General features: G+C 41.4%; 1 protein-coding gene across 42 annotated transcripts in view; it reads right to left on the reverse strand.

Moving 5' to 3' along the window:
- Positions 1 to 18200, reverse strand: part of OSBPL3 (oxysterol binding protein like 3) — a 185309-nt gene that overhangs the window by 87280 nt on the left and 79829 nt on the right. For all 42 annotated transcript variants that reach the window (NR_104112.1, NR_104111.1, XR_007060001.1 and 39 more), the window contains one exon: positions 8561 to 8805. Coding sequence is in view for 33 of the 42 variants with exons in the window: in XM_047420146.1 (XP_047276102.1) it covers positions 8561 to 8656 (96 nt within the window). In the remaining 9 variants the exon portion in view is untranslated. Of the gene's footprint in view, positions 1 to 8560; positions 8806 to 18200 lie in introns of those variants that run through there.

Below are 18200 nucleotides of genomic sequence, written 5' to 3' on the forward strand. Positions count from 1 at the left end.
CTGATACTTTAACCTCTTCTGATATCAAATGTTTGTTTGTGTCTTATAAGACTTACTCAGAGTGGAAATATATTGAGAGCTCAGTCTTATTTCTTCAGCCTTCCTGCCTCTGAGGTATGTTATAACCATAGGGGTGGCTAAAAGGTCAGCAGTAAGGAGGAGAAGTAAAAGGCCCAGAAAATGAGAATCTAGAAAACTATAAGAACTATATAGTTAATTATTTTTCTCAGTGGGGTCCACTAGAAAACAAACAAACAAACAACAACAGCAACAACAAAAAAAAACAGCTCCAGGCAAACAGGGATCCTAAGGCTACTTCAATCATCCACGTTCTTCTTGGCCCTGCATTCATAAAGATGTGAGCTGAGGGAGGCTTGTTTAAATAACAACCATTTGTACATAAGGCATGGAACTTGAATTAACTTCTGAAGAAGTCTTCTAGCATCTAAAGAAACCCAGTGCTCTCCAAACAGTTGGTTGCCGGGTCACCTACCATTTATTAGCCATGGGACTCCAAACAAATCAGTTAATATCTTTGGGCTGTATTTCCTTTCCACAGTGGGGGAAACATTACAGACCCCACTGAGTTGTGCTGAGACTCCAAAGGGTAGCATGAAAGGATATTATGAGCTGTGAAGATGCTATCGGAGAGTTTTCACTTCGAGTGTCCCATGCTGAGTCTTCCTGAGAGCAGCCTAGACACAAGCCAAGCTGCCTGCCCCTGCACTGTGCCACCCACCTCCCAGCTGAAAAGATGAAGCAGGGAAGCAGCTGTGACATTGCTTAAGGGCTCCCGGGACTCCTCTGCTCACAAAAGGCGAATGTTTATTTGTCAAACACTTACATAGCACTTCCTACTACAGGCGCTCTTCAAACTAAGCAACCTACACCTAATAAGAAAACAAGGCAGAGAGAGGGTATTAACTTTGTCCAAGATCAAACAACTTATAAACAGCCGGAGATTCAAACACTGGCCATCTGGCTCCAGAGTTCATGCTCGCTGCCTCTCCTCTTCTATGATCATCATAGAACAGTGTGAGACAACCACGATGTTTCCAAGGTCCCTCCTCCTTGACTGGACTTTCTTGTGGTGTTTATTCAGCCTATACTGAATACTGAAATAAATTTAGAGATGCTAAATCTTAGTATCTCTAAAGACATTATGAAATTGAAAGAAATAAATGGGGCCAGGTGTGATGGCTCACACTTGTAATCCCAGCACTTTGGTAGGCCGAAGGGGGTGGATCACCTGAGGGCATGGTGGTACTACAGGTGCACACCTGTAGTCCCAGCTACTCAGGAGGCTGAGGCAGGAGAATCGCTTGAACCCAGGAGGCAGAGGTTGCAGTGAGCCAAGATTGCAGCACTGCACTTCAGCCTGGGCAACAGAGTGAGACTCTGTCTCAAAAACAAAAAAAAAAAAAAAGAAAGAAATGGGACTAACCATTTTCAATACCCAGACAGCTGAAATGATAAACACCTGGACATTATTAAAGTGTTAATTCACTTTTCCCTCCTTGGCAAATTCTTCCCCATTCCACTCACCTGTTTTATGAGTTCCGGCCCTGAGCCCAGCCAGGCTGGGCTCTCTGGAGTGCGGCATAATCTAATACCCTGCATAAATAAGCTCTCATCAGGTGACCCTGGGAGAGTTCAAGCCACTGTAGTTCAGCCCAGAAACAGCAGGGTGACAAGAGTGAATTGCATAATTGTATGGAAACTTACCTAGCAATAGATCTCTCCATTTCAAAACCCCTGCAATCATGAGTGAAGCACTTGTCAATTATTTTGACAGGATTTACTCTCTATTGCTAACTTCTATGCCAAATGCTAACAATACACTTTAAAACTGAATAGAGGCTGTGCTCTCTTTACCACTCATACTCTTTCCAATCAGAGTTGATTTCTTATTTATGATGAACTGTTCAGCTGTCCTGTCCTTCATAGCTTCGTATATCCCTGCTCAGGGCCTTTTAATAACAGGCTCTCAATACATATTGGCTGAAGAAATAAAACTCAAGGCTATAGGACTCTTTTGATAAAGACAAAGCATACTTGGTCATCTTTATCAAGCTAATCTGGCCTCTGGAATGTGTTACTTTGAAAATTCTAGGAAGGAAATGTAAGGGGGCAGTGGGAAAAAGACAAGAGGAAATTGCAATTACTCATATTTTACACATTTTAAAATAGCAATTCTCCCTCCCACTTAGATATTCCTTAACCCACTTAATGTATCTACAAGACTTTGTGAATGGTAATCTTTCTACTAAGCAACTGCATGTTTATTCATTCATTAATTTAATCTACACTTACTGAATGTTTCCCCTATGCTAGTCTAGATGCTTCTTATTTACTGTTTCATTTAGTTCTCAAAAGTAAGCAAAATTATCCAAATTTCGCAGCTAAAAAGCTTAGACCCAGAATGTGTTAAAAAAAACATGGCAAGGTTATCCAGCAGGCAAAAAGCAAAACCGGTGAGAACAAGCATCAGTTTCTAGAGCTGCGTCTTTACTTTTGTTCCAGACGTTCAATAGAGTAGTTCCTTCACAGACCACAGGTATAGAAGAACATTTATGGATGCCATCATTTGCCAGAATAAAATCAATGGGGAAGCCCTTCTTCATTTTATTACAGATCCTCACAACTGTCATTGGAGTGGAAGAGCTTAAGAATCTGTGGGCTTTTTGCTCCCGCATGTTCTCCATGTATACCTGGCCATACATTCTCACCTGCCCCAATAGAAGGATATTTGTCGCTGGTTTTCAATAAATTCAGTCCGACGATTTGTATCTTCTACATGCAAAGCCCTGTCCTAGGTGCTATGAGAAATAAAAGGATGTATAAACAGGACCCAGTACTTAAACAACCATATACTTTTTTAACCAATGAAGCAATTGAAAGAGGAAAGACGATGGCAGTGTTAAGCATGGTATTAGCCAAGCTCAAGGTTCCAAACCAGAACATTTGTGAAGGCTTCTCTCAAATCCTGTCGTGGGGCCTGGCAGAACTGGGCTGTTCCATTCCTCTGTTCCTTGTCTCTCATGAATCAACTCTAATCAGCCTTTCATCCCCAGGACTGCAAGGAAACCATTTGACAATGACACCAATGACCTGCACAAACCACGGTCATTTTCAGGCATTTTATTTGACCTATCAGCAGCTATTTAAACACAAGTTAATTAAAGAATAGCAATTCACATTTACTATGTAAATGATTTACAATGAGCAATCTTGTTTTTATAAAAATCACTTTAAATGCTTAAGCAATAAATAAAAATTCTTGCTAAGGAAATGACATAATTCAAAAGGGCAGCAGGGTTTCATAGATCATTCTAGCTAAAGGAATAGTGGAGCCAAAACCTGGGATGAGGAAGAACACTGAAGATCCACTTAGAACTCTAGAATAATAGGGTATGATTAAGACAGTCAGGAGGGACCAACAACCTATTTTTTTCTTATAAGCAGGGTCCCTTTAGTTCCTACAAGAAAAGTAGATTCCTCTATGGTGAAGACACGATATCTGAAAAGTGATCTACTTCAAAAAGAACCAATTCTGTAGAGTGTCACGGTTTTTGAAACAAGGTCATGTGAGTTCTGCTTCCAGAACTGGCCAAAGTAAAAGCAGCTCATCCGTAATTATACCAGTTTCTTAAATTTACAGAGGACTTTTCTCCAAAGACTGTCAATGTCTTTTAGCCACTGAAAACACTCAATTTTCTCTTACCGCATTCCACAGGAAAAAGCAGGAGTTGAGTTTTCCTCCATTTTATGAATGGAGAACTGAGACAACCTACACTTGCCTGAAGTTCATCCAATAACACAATATAAAGATTGCAACAGAGAGCTCTTGATTTTAACTCTTCTCTATCACTAAGGGGTGACAAACACAATGTCCATGCTGTGCTCTCCCTGCCTTATGCCCAGAAGTCACAGCTAAAAACACGGCAATCTTTCCCCTGAATGCAGACTCAGCTGCAAAGTCCTTCTTAACACAATGCTCTGTGCAGCTACTACCAAGAGATAGATGCTGGCATAGAGGGCGAGAGGGGAAAATCATTTACCACCCAAGCAAGGGCAAGGCTTAGCAGGATGGGGTAAGAATTCATCAACTTTTTTCACTTGTTTTAGGTATAGGTTATGCCTAAAGATGTCAAATGTAGCCCAATTATTAAACATTCTATTGTATTCGTCACAAAAGCATTTTATTAATGTGTAGAGTAAGGCATTTTTTATTTTAAAAGTATATATTCACATATACAGTGTATATTTTAGTGGGCTTTTGTACAACACTAAAAAGGTATGAGTGGATACACGTATGATACTGTAAAAGTTCCTGGGAGAAAAAAAGCTAGAACTATTCACTATGGGCATTCAGGACTTTCACAAATAAGACTTGAAGGTCAAATTAATGTTAATTATAATGATAAAAACATACATTTATATTTACTCAGCACCTATCCTGAGTCTGACCCTGGAATAAGTGCTTATTTTTCATCCTTACCACAATGCTATGAGAAAAGAACTATTATTATTCCAATTTTATTGATGAAAAAACTGAGGTTTGGAGAGTTTAAGGTCACAGAACCAATTAATGGGTGGACCCAAGATTGGAGAGTTAATGTTCTAATCACTATGCATACCTTTCTCCTCAAATTATCTTGAAGAGATTTTATTGACAGGTTGTTTTCATACTGGCAAAGTGAGGCTTATTGTTTTTAAAATCTCAGGAGCCCCAGTATTTAAGTTAAAAGATGATAGAACCCTCCTCCTAGGGTTTTCATGGCCCTAAGTTGTACATTTTGTCTTAGGTCAGATGTAAAAATGAAAACACCTAGGTCTCAATCATTTTCTCCTTCAAGGAAGCAAGCTCTTTTAACATAGGTATATAGGTAGGACAGTATCTCTACATAAACACATAGCTCCTTGAGATTTTATATGAATAGGTCTGAGATAGGAAGACCAGGTTCAAGTTTAAGTTCAGTTCAAGAAACAAGGACAAGAGAAAATTCAGCTCCAGAAAGTGAAAGAAAACTAGTGTGGCTGAAGTACAGATACTCTCAAGGTCACCTGGCAATACTGGATGAGAATTTAAGTAAAAATGACTTTAAAAAACCATGTCTTCCAGCTAAGATGGTGTTTTAAGTTCATGCATTTAATGCCCCTTCCCTATTGCCACTCTCACTCCAAATATGGCAAAAATATACAAAATGCCACCCTCACTCCAAATATGGCAAAAATATACAAAGTTATAAACATGTAGGGCTCCTTTGTGTCTGTGTGATAAAGAAACAAGATTAAATATTTCCAAAGAAAATGTGGTGCATATACTTATGCAGTGGACTACTATTCAGCCTTAAAAAAGAAAGACATCTTGTCATTTGCAATCACATGGATGAACTGGAGGACATTATGTTAAGTGAAATAAACCAAGCACAGAAAGAAAAATGCTGCATGATTTCACTTACATGTGGAATCTAAAAAAGTCAAACTTACAGAAACAGAGGATGGAATGGTAGTTAGCAGGGTCTGATAAGTTCTGGGGATCTAATGTAACACCATGCTGACTGTAGTTCATAATACTGCATTATTCACTTGAAATTGGCTATAAAAGTAGATCTTAAATGTTCTTACCACACACACACACACAAATAACTATGGGGGGTGATGGGTATATTAGCTTGATAATGGGTAATCACTTCCTAAAGTGTACATGTATCAACACATCACATTATACACCATAAATATATACAACTTTCATTTGTCATTTATTAGCTCAACAAACCTGAAAAAAAAAGAATAATGTGGCAAAAAAAAGATTAAGTATCTCCATGGATCAGAACCAAATAGAAATGTGAAGTATACTGTAGACAAAGGTGTCCATTAGCCTGTTTCTGAGGGCTAATGAGGAGAAAAATGTCATCAGGAAAAGGCTGGGACCTGAGCCAGGCTCACTACTGGAAATCTGAAACTGTGGAGGGGGAAGCCCCCACACCACAATGAAAGAGAGCTTTAAAGATCTGCTTGCCCAGGGAGAGGTGAGAAGGGAGACACAGCCTCACAGCCAGGCGCTGGGCTATGCTGTCTGGGGCCTGGTGCTGGGTCCATCATCATCATGGAACAGAAGGCCCTTGCTGCAAATATTAGACTTGACTCTGCACTGGGGTCCTGGGAGGTAGGAAGTTGGCAACAGCAAATCCCTAGATGGGTCAGGGTGAGCGCAGAGAAAGAATACATGGAAAACAATCTCTAGATGAAGCTCTAAGCTGCAATTCCAAAGCACATGAGAAAAACTAGCACTAAGAAAAATGACCAATAAAATCAATATCAGATGTATCCCCTCCAGATGAAAGAAAGAAAGCAATTTGAAAATGACTTTAAACTGGTGTTTGAAATACAAGTTGGTATTTGTACAGATTATCTTTAGTTATATTTTCATATTCCTCTAATTAAATTTCTTACTATGTAAATCTTGAAGTTTTAAGTGTTTAACTGGTACTCTTCAGTGACGTGACTGGAAACACAGTGTCATCCTTGTATTTAGCAACCGACAGACCATCGGAAATGGCTGTGCCCTAAGTGAGGAAAGCTTCAAAGGTTCCTGCACCTCTGCAGCACCTTTAAAGACTGAAGCACAATCTTGGGCCAGTTTGTGAAGGCAGATTGGGTATGGGGGCCAAGGTGGACCCCGTGGATGGAAACACTAAGCATACCCTGGGACAGAACACCTTTCTTCGACAGAAGGATGAGAAAGCAGACGGACCAAGAAAATGACCTCTGGAAATCAAACATGGGCTTTATAACTAACTTCAGGCTGAAGTTAAAATAAACTTAATAAATTCTCCACCTTCTCTGCCACAGAGGAAATATAAGTGTCTCCATTTATAAAGTCACAGTGTATGCATATTAAAGCAGGAGACCCTAAATATAAAAGATGACCATTTGATGAATGAGTGACTGATTGACCAAGCATTCCAAGTCAGAAAAAAGTTGAGGCATCAAGCACATTCCTCTTACCCTTCATGATGTAACTTCCAAAAAAGCTTTGTGAAAACCAAATCAATTCCAAATAACACACTGAAAAAAGTTTCTGTAGTATTTGATCTGAGAATTTCATTGTACTGTTCCAATTCCTATGGTGTAATCACCACCTGCTACTTAAATGAATCATGTTCTCCCCCTTTATCAAAGAAGGACATAACAACCCCTAGGTGTAAGGAAGATGGCGCAGGTAGGGGATATACCACATACTGTTTTAATCCCAACCAGAGTTTTGGCTTAGGGAGAAAAATACTCCTGTGGAAAGCTGACAAAGAGGACAAGCACAGTGACCCTCATGAAAACAGAACTGCAGGGAGCCATGATGCATTAGCCAATGACTAATTTTAGTCTTTTCTTATTTTTTTTTTTTTTAATTCCAGAAGGAACCGATGACAGTGCTGACAAAATTCTCCTTAACCCCTCAGGGGAGATCCTGGAGGGCTTCCCAAATGTCAGGTCTGTGGCAAAATCTAATTTCCTGGAATCACAGATTCATGGGTGGCAAAGCTCCTTATCCCAGGCAACGCTCAGTTGGACAGACCCCTGATGATGTGTCATAAACGTGTAGACGTGACTGAGGTGGGAGTTGCTTAATTGCTGCTTCCAATTCTGGAACCAAAGACTCTGGGTGATTTCTCAGGCCAGCACTTCCCATGAGGAAAAGGAAATGCCAACAGAAGCAGCAGGTGCTGAAAAGGCTCAGAGACCACTTTGGTCATAAATTCAGCTTTCTGACAGCTCATTCTCTCTCCATCTAACTGCTGGGGGAAGAATTATAATGATTAATGTGCATTTACTGCCACTGATCTAAAACCAGCAAATTCTGCCAACAAAGATTTATTAGAAAGGAAACCAAGAAACAATATATAATTACTCAACAGTTATTTAGGAGTTAATTATTCATTCCTTTGTTTCAGTTCTTTCTTCCTCCTACTTAATTTCTTTGGACCATTTTTCTGTAGATTAGGTTACCTCATCCATTATAGATATAAAGCAGGTGAGTCTCGAAGCTACTAACAGGGCAATCTGTGGTTACAAGCTGCCATAAAAGGTTTGATGAAGGGAAGAAAGTTGGGGTGGATATTATAATTACCAGAAAAATGATTGATTGTTTTTTTGTTTTGCTTAGCAGGATATAAAGGAAAGTGTGGGCTCTGAAGCCAAACAGACTGAGCTTTGCTTCTTTCTTTGCTCCTTATTAGCTGTGTGTCCTTGGGCAAGTAACCTGGTCAGTCTGAGTCAGCTTCCTCATGGGGAAAATGAAGATGTTAAAATCTACATTGGGGGACAGTTGCAAGAATTAAATAAAATTATACGAAGAACCAAATGCAGTTCTTCCCACCTGGTAGGCACACATTATTAAAATTATACAGAATTTACTCTCCTCATACAGTCAAGAGATAACCAAAAGTAAATGCTCTTAAACTGAGAAGTAGGCTTTCCCAAGTAAATGTGTGCATTTTAACCAGCAAACTTGATGGCTTACATTTGCATATTAAAATTTGCATGAGTTAAACTTTACCTGTCGACTTCCTTGCTTGGAAGAGCAGCTACTTGTGCTCCTTGAAGGTGATACCAATTTTTGGGACACACCAAGGTTCTTCTCATCACTCATCATGGACAGCAAGTCACTTGGCCTCGAGACAATCAAAATGCCATCAGATGACAAGGGAGCCGAGAGTATGGAAGTCCCCAGTGGCAGGTGGTTTAGCTCTTATCCAAAGTATTTAAAAAACATTTTGGGTGGCCCAAAGGAAACCCTAAAACCTAAAAAAGAGAAATTAGAAAGAAGGTCAGAGGCATCAGATATCATCTCTAATTTGCCACAAATTGTCTGCAAGTGGCTTAAACATACTACAGATTACAGACTCACGATGTTTAGCTATAGCAGGCGCCGAGAAGGAAAAGAAGCTTTACACCATTCTCTTACAGGGAATTTTGTATAGGTGGTTTTTCATGTAGCTTTGCAATATAGCAGGCTTAAGAACATTAATACAAAAATTTGAGTCCAGACACATACAAAATCAGTACTATAAAAAATCTTAAAACACAGTAAGACACTACTTCACATCCACTGTGATAGCTATAATAATTTTTTTAATGGGAAATAACTAGTGTTGGAAAGAGTATGGAGAAATTGGAACCCTCAGACATTGCTGGTGGAACTGTAAAATGGCATAGCCGTGGTGGAAAACAGTTTGGTAGCTGTTCTATTTCTCAAAAATTTAAACATAGAATTATCATATGATCCAGTAATTCCAATCCTAGGTATAGATCCAAAAGAAGTGAAAACAGGTGCTCAAACAAAAAGTTGCAGACCAATGTTCATAGCAATGTTATTCACAATAGTCAAAGGTGGAAAGAACCCAAATGTCCATCAACTGATGAATGGATGAACAAAATCTCATATATACATTCAATGGAATATTATTCAGATATTAAAGGGAATGAGGTACTGATACATGCTATAACATCAATGAACCTTGACAACATTAGGCTAAGTCAAATAACCCAGACACAAAAAAATAAACATTGTATGTTTCCATATGAAATATCCAGAGTTGGCAAATCCATAGAGACAGAAGGCCAATAATTAGTGGTTACTGAGGGGAGAGTAGAGTGACTGCTTAATGGCTACAGTTTCTTTTTGGTGTGATAAGAATATTCTGGAACTAGGCTGGGCTCAGTGGCTCATGCCTGTAATCCTAACGCTTTGGGAGGCCGAAGTGGGAGGATTACCTGAGGTCAGGATTTCGAAACCAGCCTGGCCAACATGGTGAAACTCTGTCTCTACTAAAAATACAAAAATTAGCCAGGCACGGTAGTGGGTGCCTGTAATCCCAGCTACTCAAGAGGCTGAGGCAGGAGAATCGCTTGAAACCGGGCGGCGGGGCGGGGGGGACGGGGGGGTGGAGGCTGCAGCTCTTTGGGAGTCTTGCCCTGATGGAGGGGTTTCTAGTTTTCAAAGAGGAAATGTGGGCCTAGAATCACTGGCTTCTCCCACAGCCCTGGGTTAAGAGTAACTAACATGTTTGGTTTTGGCTTCAGAAAACCAGGACTTTATTTAACACACTAAGTTCAAGTAAATTCTACAGCTTTCCTAAGCAGGTTAACAACATCAAAATATACATACATATATATATATATCTCCAACCCATTCCATTATTAATGTTCACATAGTCTAATTATAAAAAGAAGAGTATCATATATTTGTCTAGGAACCAGCTAGTTAACTATGATATCAAACCTGGCTAATTATCATATACTCTTTCCTACACCTTCATTAACACTTAGTTCTTCAAAAATAAAAAAGAGTACATTAAAGCAATAAGCTAGAATCAAAACAATGAAAAGAAATACAAAATCTCAGAAAATGAAATTAAGGTGCCCAGAGCCATAGAGCTCAATTCCCATGTTACTCTTAGGTAACTCCCCAAATCTCTTTATTCATTTAGTATTGGATCCAATAATAAGTAAGACTAAAAGCAAACCAGCACCAGCCTCTTCATAAAATTAGCCTTACTGATGGGGGCATGACTAGGTGTACCTGAAGTTAGAAGCAAATGCAATCTAAAAAGTAGCAAGAGAGTACTGTAAAGATATATTAATAGTTTGTGGAAAAGCAGTGTTGGCTGTTGCTGTTTGAGAAAGAAAAAAAAAAAATCAAAAACCTGGTGGGAGCCCCAAATGATGAAATGTGTGTCTGTGCTTGGGGCGGGGAGGGGGCATCCACTGCTATGGCAACAGATTCCACAGTGGATTAGGAATACCAGCGGAGTGTTTGTGTGTGTGTGTACAAGCTTTGCTTTTGTTTTTTCTTTAAGGCTGAGGTTCTGTTAAACGAGAGTCTACAAGAGTCTGGGATGAGAGGGGTGTGTGTGCAATGTAAAGGGAGAGAAACGTGGGCAATAAATGAAAGTTACAGGAATTCTAAAACCACCAAAACAGAAACACCACAACCCTGTCCTAGAGGCAGCTGATACAGGGTCATCTTTATCTCTTTGTCCTGCAGAATTTCAGTTGGGAGGCAACAGCCAGGACTTAGTAGGCCAAATCCAATAGCTATCAAAGTTGGCACTTAGAGCCAAGGGCTCTGCCAGCATGACCCCCTGGTGACCCCTACCCCTGTCTCCTTTCCCCTTCTGGGAAAGAAAGAGAGGGGACCCGCAGCCCCTCCCATGCCCAGCCACAAGGTGGAGTTTTGGGATTGTTGCCCGGGGAAATATATCTATTTCATCCCCTAGAACCTTCCTGCCTAGCCTCATCAGGAATTTGGTTAAAGCCACCAAAAGCAGCCTAAAAAGTAAAGGAAGTCAAATTTCAAGAGAAGGATATATAGTCGCATGCCACATCATGGGGTTTCAGTCAGTGACAGCCCATGTATACGCTGGTGGTCCCATAAGACTATAATTCTGTATTTTCACTGTACTTTCTCTGTGTTTAGTTACACAAGTCCTTACATTGTGTTACTGCTGCCTGCAGTATTCAGGACAGTATCATGCTGTACAGGTTTGTAGCCTGGGAGCAGTAGGCTGTACCACATAGACCGGGTGTGTAGCAGGCTCTGCTATTCAGGTTTGCTAAGTATACTCTATGATGTTCCCACAACAACGATGAAATTGCCTGATGTCACATTTCTCACAGTGCTTCCTATCTTAAGCGACGCATGACTACTTAAAACAGGGAAGAATAAAGAAAGAAGGCAGCTGTAGCCCAAGACTAAGGTATCCCAGGTGCCAAGATGGTCACTTGGATGGAGGCAACTACTGTGTCCACTCTAGGGGACACCACAGGGATGGGCTGGGGTCACCAGAGAGGAGGCCTCGGCAGGATGGTGCATATGAAAGACCCCTGAGTGCTTTCACTCCACCCGGAGACCCTTCCATGGAAAACCTCTAATTCAAAGGGTTTATGGGTTTCAACAATATATGATAATTTCCCTGCTCACAGACTGTGAATAATTTAAGGGCAAACATTTATTTCCACCTTATTTTGTACTGAGAAATAACAGGTATACTAAAGTGCACAAATCTTAAGTGCACATACAGAATGTTACACTTGCAAATACTCATATAATCATCAGCTGGATCAAAAAATAGAACATTTACGGCCTGCCAAAAAGGCTTCTTGGTCCCCTGGAGCTGATCTTTTTGCAGATTGCTGTCCCTGAGTAAATCTCTCCTGCAAGTACTTGTCAACATGCCTTAAGGATGGAGAGCTAGGACTTGCCCCAGCTTACAGGAACAGGTTTTATGGCTACTTTGGTGCATTCTGCCTAATGTCAGTGTTTGATGTGTGACAGAATTCGGTTTGGGATCTGCTTTTGTTTCAACAAACCACCTGGTGGTGAGGTTGAGGAGGAGAGAACTTATGGCCCTTTCCTTCCTCTAAATCACAGAGGCCACCAAAACCAACACGTGTCAAACACCAGATGCACTTGTGTCAGTTCAAAAATGACGTTTGTGCCTCTAAGATGAGCTTCATTGTCTCTCACCACTGCCACCCACCTTTGAGAAGCTGATGGGTCAGGACTGTGTGAAACGCTAGTGTTTTGGTTAAAAGTCAAATGGACACATGACATGCAAACATAAGCTGTCCTGGGGCTTCCACTAGGAAAAGAGAACCCTGATTTCTACCCAGAATGGGGAAGAATAAATGACCAACGCACTGTCAAGTATTTTGGCAACAAAGGCTGATTTTAAGACTCATGTTAGTAGGTTTCACTTAGAAAAGATAACACAATTTGGGAAAAGATGTAAAGGTGACATCACATACTATATATGTGTGCTGGAAGGAGTCAGACCTAGGTTTGAATTGGTGTTTCCTTATTACAAACTCTGTGCACCTTGACAAATGTATTAAGCTCTCTGATTTATATTTTTTCCTGTATAAAATGGGGAATAATAATAGCCACCCCAGAAAATTAGAAGGATTTGGCCAGGTGGAGTGGCTCATGCCTATAATCCCAGCAATTTAGGAGGTGGACGCGACTGGATTACTTGAGGTCAGGAGTTCAAGACCAGCCTGGCCAACATGGTAAAACCCCATCTCTACTAAAAATACCAAAATTAGCCGAGCATGGTGGTGCATGCCTGTAGTCCCAGCTACTCAGGAGGCTGAGGCAGGAGAACTGCTTGAACCTGGGAGGCAGAGGTTGCAGTGAACTGAGATTGCACCACTGCACTCCAGCATGAGAGGGAAGGAGGGAGAGAGGGAGGGAGGGAAGAGAGGGAGGGAGGGAGGAAGGAAGGCAGGCAGGCAGGCAGGCAAGAAGGAAGGAAGGAAAATTAGAAGGATTAAATAAGAAAATGAGGATACAGTGTCTGGCTTTGGAATAGAATAGACACTCCACAGATGTAAAGGCTCATGGCCTCCTCTCTCCTGGCTTCCTGAAAGTGGCAGGTGCAGCACAAGATAAGAAGCTCTACCCCTCCTTCAACTACAAACAAATAAAGATGGCAGAATCTTTTTTTTTTTTTTTTTTTTTTTGAGACGGAGTCTCGCTCTGTCGCCCAGGCTGGAGTGCAGTGGCGCGATCTCGGCTCACTGCAAGCTCCGCCTCCCGGGTTCACGCCATTCTCCTGCCTCAGCCTCCCGAGTAGCTGGGACTACAGGCGCCCGCTACCACGCCCGGCTAATTTTTTGTATTTTTAGTAGAGACGGGGTTTCACCGTGTTAGCCAGGATGGTCTCGATCTCCTGACCTCGTGATCCGCCCGCCTCGGCCTCCCAAAGTGCTGGGATTACAGGCGTGAGCCACCGCGCCCGGCCAGATGGCAGAATCTTAAAACATGTGTGTCCTTCAACATATTAACATCTCCCAAAATCCATAATGCGAGTGTGAACAGACTAGTGTTAAAGCATTAAAGCAGTGTGCTTACTTTGGAAGAAGACATAAATGCAGAAAGATAAAAGCCACAGAATTCATCACCACTAGCTCTCCAAAAAAGCAACATTATCTGGTAGATTGCAAAAAGTGGCATATAACACAGCTACTTATTAATCCATTAGGCCTGGGGGTCTGCACTCAGACACTTGGCCATGTTTTGCTTGAGAAACAGATTTTGCTTCCATAGTTGGAAACGACTTTCATGAAGGCCAGATGGCATATAATTCCAAATAGTTTGCAATTTCCCAGTAAAATATATAAAGAAATTATGTCCTGAATTAACGTTAGAAATTTTTTAAGTGGGATATCTATTTCTGGTCTTTAATAAAATAAAATTATTCAAATCCAAGTTATGCATCTTTTTACAAATGGTACCCTCTGAAACACCCTGATTTCAAAAATGTTACATGGTCAAAAGCAGGGCTTTGGTTATTTGGCTTTAAGCACCACAGACCAGAGATTCAGCATCAGAAGTTTCTGGAAGCAGGTTCTAATCACAACTTCAGATACCGATCGGTGATCCCGGACCTCTGAAGTGCTGTCCATGTGTCCGAACTATCTGAACTGCTGGTCTGATCCAAAGGCACCCATACCTGACTGTTTCTGGGAGAGGAGTACTAAGTTTCTGGGAGATGAGTACTAAGGCTCAGTGTCCACAGAAGTCCCTTCTTTAAAGTCTAACAATTCCTCCACAAACCATTTTTTTTTTAAATCTTATTCTCACTTTTGGCAAGACAGGAGTCAAGAGGCCTAAAGACTCAAATGCTTACTCTGGCACAATAGAGTATCCATTTCTATTCCCTGCTCCATCCATGGCCTTCACAATCCACTTCTTCAGGGGACATCAGATTGCTCAGAGCCCAATCCAGCAACAGAAATGCACCTGGTGCATATTTGAAGCGTGCGGCTTCCATGAGACAAAAAGCTGGACAATGGTATCTGGCTGTCAGTTTAGGCTGGAACCATTTATTTGTCATCACTGAGTAAACAAAACAACAAGCGCAATAACACCAGTCATTAGAATCATGGAGCCTAATAACGAATTCTAGCCCAACCTCCGGCTTAAACAAAGCAAGAACTCCCTCTATAACATGGCTAGATCATCACTGCTTGACCACTTCCTGTGACAGAAACAAGGCACTTCATTTCACCTTTTTAAAAATCTATTCTAGACAGTTTGTCATCATTTAGAGCTGAAATAATGACTCACTATAATTTCATGCGCTGCTCCTAGATTTGCCCTTGGTAACTACATAGAACAAGACAGAACTTTTTTTTAACCATAACCTGCACTGAAACCACCACCATCCCCACATCCCACCCAGCAAATCTTTTCTTCTCCAGACTAAACAGCCGCATTGTCATCATCATCCATTTCTTATGGGACATGGATCAAGAGCCCTTGTGATCCCAGATGTTCAACTTTGATCACCCTTCAATTTGTGCTTCTCTAACAGTGATGCCCAGATTTAAAGACAAGCTCTAGGTGTGGTCTGGACAGAGCAGAAGAGAAGGCAATGACAATCTTCCTGGCCTCAACCACACTGCAACTGTTAATACTGCTGGATTTGCCTTAGCTTTGGGGGAACTTGCATCTCTTTCCAGTTCTCAGTGTTCTTACTGGGACTGTCAGGTCATAGGGATTTCTGAGAAGTTGGGCTTCCTTCTTTCTGAAGCGGACTCCTTTACTTCCTTTAACTAAAATTCAGGACTTGACTGTTCTATTATTATTACCATCATTATAATCATTATTAAATTATCACATGTTAATTTTGACCCATGTCAAGATATTTCTGGAGACCAATGGTCACTGGCTGACTTCTTTGTTACGGCATACATAGATTGCACAGGCATATGAAATCTATACTCACCCAAGTAAATTATACTTGGAGATTTAGTAACGAGAAGAGCACCAAGGGCATGGAGGTCTCTGCAGCCTGACATTAATTTGTCTGTTAATTAGCATTTCTGCATACAAATGCATACAACCCACTATAAATGCCCATAACTATACAATCACCTACAATTTCTCAAAGTGTCCAGATCCACCTTCTTCAAAGTCTTCCGGATTCTTATTTAAGATGCAGATTTTGCTCCACTTTAGATGAGTTGAATCAGAATTTCTATCTAGAGACGGGCCTGATAATCTGCATGTTTAACACATGCCCTGGGTGATTTTTGCTTAAAGTTTGAGAACGTAACTGACTTAGCCTGTAGCTTTCAACCTTTCTTATTTGACTCCAAGCCAATCCTTCTATTTGTGTATGTGTGACGTGGCAGAGGGTAGGAAGCTAAAACCCTCTTTTATTATCGTAGTCCTGTGGTTTTTAAAGAGGGGCCCTAAGACTTGCAGCATCATTATCACCTGGGACCTTGTTAGGAATGCAAAATCTCTGACCCTACCACAGACCAACAAAATCAGGAACTGAGAGGGGGACCCTGGGATCTGTTTTTCACAAGTTCTCCAGGTGACCTGAATGCACAAGTCCAAAACCACTGCCACAGGTTAATATTACAACCATGGCATAGAATCTTTCGGCCTTTGGTATACAGCAGGTCCTCGAGTAATGTTGTTTTATTTAACTTTGTTATTTAGAAGTTTGGTGATGTTTTTGTGACCAGAAATATGCCACAGGAAACATGCCATTGTTTTTATCAATTAGCCTACGGTAAAATTAGCTTCGTATATATCGTTTCACTTGAAGTCACAGTTTCCAAGAACTTATCAATGAAGATACATGAGGACTTAGTGTACATTTGTCAGGGATTAGAGTAGACCCTGAGTTCTTTTCTGGGAAAGATTTTGTCCCACTGCTTAGCTACTCCTTAATCAAGGTATGGCAAGTACCAGACACATGTGCTTCCAGTCTCCACTCCCAAGCTTTGTCATCATGGCAAAATTCCTCAATCAGCTCTCCAGAAAACTAAAAGACAGAGTTGGCTGGCCAGGCGTGGTGGCTCATGCCTGTAATCCCAGCACTTTGGGAGGCCAAGGTAGGTGGATCGCTTGAGCTCACGAGTTCAAGACCAGCCTGGGCAACAAGGCGAAACCCCCATCTTTACAAAAAATATTAGGTTGGTGTGAAAGTAAGTGCGGATTTTGCCATTGGCACGAACCTAATACAAAAATTAGCTAGGCGTGCTAGTGCACACCTGTAGTATCAGCTACTGGGGAGGCTGAAGTGGGAGGATGACTTGAGTCTGGGAGGCGGAGGTTGCAGTGAGCTGAGGTTTTGCCACTGCACTCCAGCCTGGGCTACAGAGCCAGACCTTGTCTCGAAAAAAAAAAAAAAAGAGAGAGAGATGGCCAGGTGTGGTGGCTCACACTTATAATCCCAGCGCTTTGGGAGGCTGAGGCGGGCGGATCACGAGGTCAAGAGTTCGAGACAGCCTGGCCAACATAGAGAAACCCTGTCTCTACTAAAAATACAAACATTAGCCGGGCACAGTGGCAGGCGCCTGTAATCCCAGCTACTCGGGAGGCTGAGGCAGGAGAATTGCTTGAACCCAGGAGGTGGAGCTGAGATGGCGCCACTGTACTCCAGCCTGCAGTGAGCCCAGATGGCGCCACTGTACTCCAGCCTGGGTGACAGAGCAAGACTCCATCTCAGAAAAAAAAAAAGAGAGAGAGAGTTGGTAAGACAGATCTAACCTGCTAAGATGCATTCCCTTATCCTGATTAAGAGCCATGATTTCATAGGACATTAGCTGCAATCTGGTCATAAAAGTCAACACATATGTACCTGTCTTTGATCCTCAACACAAAACACCCATGCACCAGGCTCTTGCCAAACATTATAACTTTGAACTATGTACTGTCCAGACTTTATCATTCAGTGGCTCACACTCTGAGTGCATACTGAAACTACGTGACACACTTTCAAAAATGCTGATAAACAGACCCTATCCTAGATCTATTATGTTGAAATCTCTGGTGGGGCCAGGCTTTGGTATTCCTAAACCTCCACAGGTATTTCTGGTGTAGGACCAGGGTTGACAAGGTGCTTCTGGGCTGTGAGCCACCATTAAATGATCCAAAAAGACAAGACAATGTGTGCACCAAGCTCAAGCTATATCATCTGATAATGGAACTACCCTATTCTGATCACTAAGAACTGCTTTCCCTGCATTGTCTTCTAGGAGTATAACCATGACCTACAATGAGATAATTGCTGCCAATAAATAAATAACCAACCCACTGTACGATACTGGGAAATTTTGTAGAGCAGTAATAATAAAGACTAAAAGCTGTGGACTCAAACTGCCCGGGTTCA

This window comes from Homo sapiens, chromosome 7 (genome assembly GCF_000001405.40).
Source record: "Homo sapiens chromosome 7, GRCh38.p14 Primary Assembly".
Lineage (NCBI taxonomy): Eukaryota > Metazoa > Chordata > Mammalia > Primates > Hominidae > Homo > Homo sapiens.